General features: G+C 34.7%; 1 annotated feature.

Annotated features, from left to right (window-relative positions):
- Positions 4,021–4,189: a silencer, noted in NCBI's record as "fragment chr18:70761987-70762155 (GRCh37/hg19 assembly coordinates)". NCBI's record gives its function as "represses an EF-1alpha promoter that drives an FKBP-Casp9 reporter gene in an ReSE screen in K562 erythroleukemia cells {active_cell/tissue: K562}" and the evidence as "EXISTENCE:reporter gene assay evidence [ECO:0000049][PMID:32094911]".

The following is a 4,925-nucleotide window of genomic DNA, read 5'->3' as shown; positions in this document are numbered from 1 at the left end:
GTTGCTAAAATTGACAGATAAAATTATATGAATGTATTACATAAAGCACGATGTTTTGAAGTATATATACATTATGGAATGACTAAATCTAACTAATTAACATATGCATTACCTCACGTAGCTATCATTTTTCTGGTGATAACACTAACATCTACTCTCCCAGCATTTTTTAAGAATACAAGGTGTTGTTATTAACCGCAATTAGCAGGAGCTGGAGCAGTTGTGGAGGGAAGCTGGGGAGATTTTGGTCCAAAGACACAGCCTTTCAGTTACATGGATGGCACCTTAAACAAACGTGAAGGGATACATATTTTTCAAAATTATTTTAGGGTGTACATAAATAAGATAGTTTGAAGATTTTATCTAAATGATTAAGGTATTATTTAACTATCCACGTTTCACTAATTTCATCCATCAGAATTTTGTTTGCACAATTTAAACTTTGGTTGCACTAAACTGAACACACAGAGCTTTCTTCACCTGTGTGTTTTCAGTGTCCTTATCTTGCCCTCACTCTTGAATTATAATGTGGCTGGATATTGATTTCTAGATTGACAGTTATGTTTCTTCAGCATTTTAAATATGCATTTCATCCTCTTATTGCCTGGGTCATTGCTGATGAAATGTCCACCAGGCTAAATATCGTTCCCTTGTAGGTCAGTTGCTTTTTCTCTCAGGGTGCCTTTCAGACGTTGTATTTGTTTTGTATGCTCTGAATGTTTAGTTCTGTTCTTTCTGCTGTAAATTTAATGGGCTTTTCAGTCTGATAACTTACACTTTCTTCATTCTATTAAATTATCGCAATTAGTTTTTAAATAATTCCCACTCGCAACAGTTCCTGCACTTCTCTCTGGAATGTCTATTATTAAATAATGGCACTAGTAGATAGCAAAAGTTGTGTATATATAATCCAATATTTATAACAACTACAAATTAACAGTAAAGAGAGACACTCAAAAACACTATTAATAAATTAGAACAAAATTCTAAAAATGGCTCAAGTAACCCACAGGAATGCAGGAAAAAGAAAGCAGCAAATGAAATACAGAGGAAAAAAAGAAATAAAAATGTCAGGTTTAAGCATTAACATATCAAAAATTGTATTAAACATAAGTGATCTAAAAGCACTGATTAAATGACAGAGATTGGTAGAGTACAATTTTAAAAATCACAACTCAACTATACACTGTCAACAATAAGTCACTTTAAATATAATGATATAAGGAGGCTGAAAATACAAAGATGGAAAAATACATTACACATATGTTAATTAGAAAAAAGAAATAGCTATATTGATATTAGACACATTAGATTTCAGAGCAAATTGAATTAAAAGAGAAAAAGAAACATTTTACAATCATAAAAAATCAGTCCCCCAAGAAAACATGATAATTATAAACATGTAAGCACCAAAAAACAGATCCATAAAATACATGAAACAAAATTGATAGAACAAAAAGGAAAAATGCATAAATGTAAAATTATAGTTAGAAATTTGAACAACCATCTCTCAACAACTGATAAAATAACTAGACATAAAAAACCAGCAAGGATGTGGAAGAATTCAACAGCACCATCAATCAAGAGTATTGAATCAGCATTCATGGAATACTCCGTCAAAAAGAAGCTCATTGGTTTTAAGTGCTCATAAAATATATACTAAGATAGACCATATCCAGGGACATAAACAAATATTAACACATTTGAAAGAATTGAAATTATACAGTGTGTTTTCTCTGGCCACAATAAAACCAGTTTAAGTATCAATCACAGAAAAATGTCAGAATATCTTCAAACACAGAGAAAGTAAATAACAAACTTCTAAATAAGCCATAAGCCAAAGAGAAAGTCTCAAAGAAAACAGTAATAAGAATAAGAACACATTGAGTTAGATGAAAATTTTAGAAAAATATAGTACATGAAAATTCGTGAGGCACAGAGGGCTAAGAAAAAATGCATAGCACTAAACAAATATGTTAGGAAATAACCATCTCAAAAAATCTAAGCTTTTACCTCAAGAACCAAAAATGAGAGCAAAATAAATGCAACACAAGCAAAAGGAAGAATAAGGAGAAATCAATAAAATTGAAAATAGAAAAAAAAATAGAGAAATACAATGAAACATATTACCGGTTCTTTGAAAAAAATCAGTGAGATTGACAAACCTCTAAAGATACTAAAAAAGGAAAAAAGAAAGAAGACATGATTTTCCAGTTTCAGGAATGAAACAAAGGGTATCACTATCAACCCTACAGAAATCAAAAGTATAGAAAAGGAATACGGCCAACAATTCTGCACATACGAATTTGACAACTCAGTTAAATGAACCAATTCCTTGAAAAACAAAAACTACCACAACTCTCCCAGTATGAAATAATCTTAATAGTACCATCACTGCTTAGGAAATCTAATTCATAACTTTAAAACTCTCAATAAAGAAATAATCAGGTCCAGATGGTTTCACTGGAAAATTCTGCCAAATATTTAAAGAATTTACACTAATTCTTCACAATCTCTTCCAAAAACTAGAAGATAAAACACATGTATGCAGCTTATTTTGTCCTGATACCAAAACTAGACAAAAGGTATGAAAAAAACCCTATAGGCTAATGTGCCTTTTGACTGTGGTTTTTAAAAATCTAATAAAATATTAGCAAATATAATACATCACTATATGAAAAGAAGTATGAACTCTGACCAAGTGGAGTTTACTGCAAGTATGCAAGAAGTTCAATAATATGAAAATCAGTTATTGCAGTCTACCATATTAACAGAGTAATAAAGAAAACGTGATCATATAACCTGATCATATGGGTTGATGCAGAAAAAGCTTTGGGAAAAATTAAAACCCACTCATGATATAAAGGAAATTCTTTAGCTTGATTTAAAAAAAACCCACAAAAAAACTACAGCTAGCATCAAATTTTATGTTGAAAAACCAAATGTTTATCCCTATGATTGGGAAAACTATCAAGGAATTTTGACTCCTCTTATTCGAAAATGTTGGAAATACTGGAAATTCTGGCCAGTGAAATGAGGCCAGAGAAGAAAATAAAAGGCATATAAATCACAAAAGAAAAAATAAGGGCCAGGTACAGTGACTCATGACTGTAATCCCAGCACTTTGGGAGGCCAAGGCAGGCCGATCACTTGGGGTCAGGAGTTCAAGACCAACCTGGCTAACATGGTGAAACCCTGTCTCTACTAAAAACAAAATACAAAAATTACCCGGCCGTGGTGGAGTGCACCTCTAACCCCAGCTTCTCAGGAGGCTGAGGCAGGAGAACCACTTGAACCCTGGAGGTGGAGGTTGCAGTGAGCCTAGAACACGCCACTGCACTCCAGCCTTTGGGACAGAGTGAGACTCTGTCTCAAAATAAAATAAGAAAAAAAAAAACCTTCATATTTACAGATGTCATAATTTTCTAAATATATTATCTCAAGGAACCTACACAATACACACTTATAGAACTCATACACAAATTTGGTAAGTTTGCATGATACAAGATGTGTATACAAAATCAATTATATTTATACAAACTAGTAATAAACACATGCACACTGAAATTAAAACTATGCTAGATAGATGATAGATAGATAATAGATAGATAGATAGATAGATAGATAGATAGATAGATAGATGGATGATAGATCGATCTATTGGGAAAACTGAAGGATTTTTTACTATTTTTATTCAAAAATGTTGGAAACATTGGAAATTCTGGCTAGAGAAGAAAATAAAAGTCTTACAGATCAGGCAACAACAACAAAAAATAAATAATACTGTTCATATTTGCAGATGCTGTGATTATCTAAATAGAAGATCCCAAGGAATCTGCGTATTGTGTATGAACACTTAAGAACTCATACACAATAGAAAGATATATATATATATATTTCTATCTTTCTATCTTTTGATATATCAATAGAGAGAGAAAGATTTATTATTAGAGATTGACTCATGTAAATATGGAGGTTGAGAAGTCTCATGATCTGTTGTTTGAAAGCTGAGGGCGCAGGAAAGCTGGTGATGTAGCTCTAGTCTAAAACTGATGGCCTAAGAACCGGAAGAGCCAATGGTGTCAACTCTGGTCCAAGTCTGAAGGCCCCAGGACCAGGTGCACCAGCGTCCCTTGGCAGGAGAAGATGTACATCCCAGGTCAAGAAGATAGAGAGAGTGAATTTGCCCTTCTTTCACCTTTTTGTTCTGTCTGATCCCTCAATGGATTAGATGATGCCTACCTGCATTGGTGAGGGCAGAACTTCCTAATTCAGTCTACTATTTCAAGTGCTACTCTCCCTGGAAAATGTCTTCACAGACGTGCCTGGAAACAATGTTGTTGTTGTTGTTGTTGTTGTTGTTGTTGTTGTTGTTGTTGTTTTGAGATGGAGTTTTGCTCTTTTTGCCCAGGCTGGAGTGCAGTGGCATGATCTCGGCTCACCGCAACCTCTGCCTCCCGGGTTCAAGCGATTCTCCTGCATCAGCCTCCCGAGTAGCTGGGATTACAGGCATGCGCCACCACTCTGGCTAATTTTGTATTTTTAGTAGAGACAGGGTTTCTCCATGTTGGTCAGGCTGGTCTTGAACTCCCGACCTCAGGTGATCCACCCGTCTCGGCCTCCCAAAGTGCTGGGATTACAGGCGTGAGCCACCGTGCCTGGCTGTTTTATCCATTATCTGGGCATTACTTAGTCCTGTTGACATATAAAAGTAACTGTTACATTAGGTATTCATGAAAAACATTTGTAAAGTTATAAAAAGTAGAGTAATGAATTCCTGAGCACTCCCTGCCAGCTGAAGCCTTTGGTTTGTCCTCCTAGATGACATTCACCTGCCCCAACACATCCAGAAGTAACCACAACCCTGCCACTGGTATTCATCATTCCCAAACATATTATGCTTTCACTCACTATGTAGAAACCCA

This window comes from Homo sapiens, chromosome 18 (genome assembly GCF_000001405.40).
Source record: "Homo sapiens chromosome 18, GRCh38.p14 Primary Assembly".
Classification (NCBI taxonomy): domain Eukaryota; kingdom Metazoa; phylum Chordata; class Mammalia; order Primates; family Hominidae; genus Homo; species Homo sapiens.
This window is presented reverse-complemented; position numbering and strand designations above follow the sequence as displayed.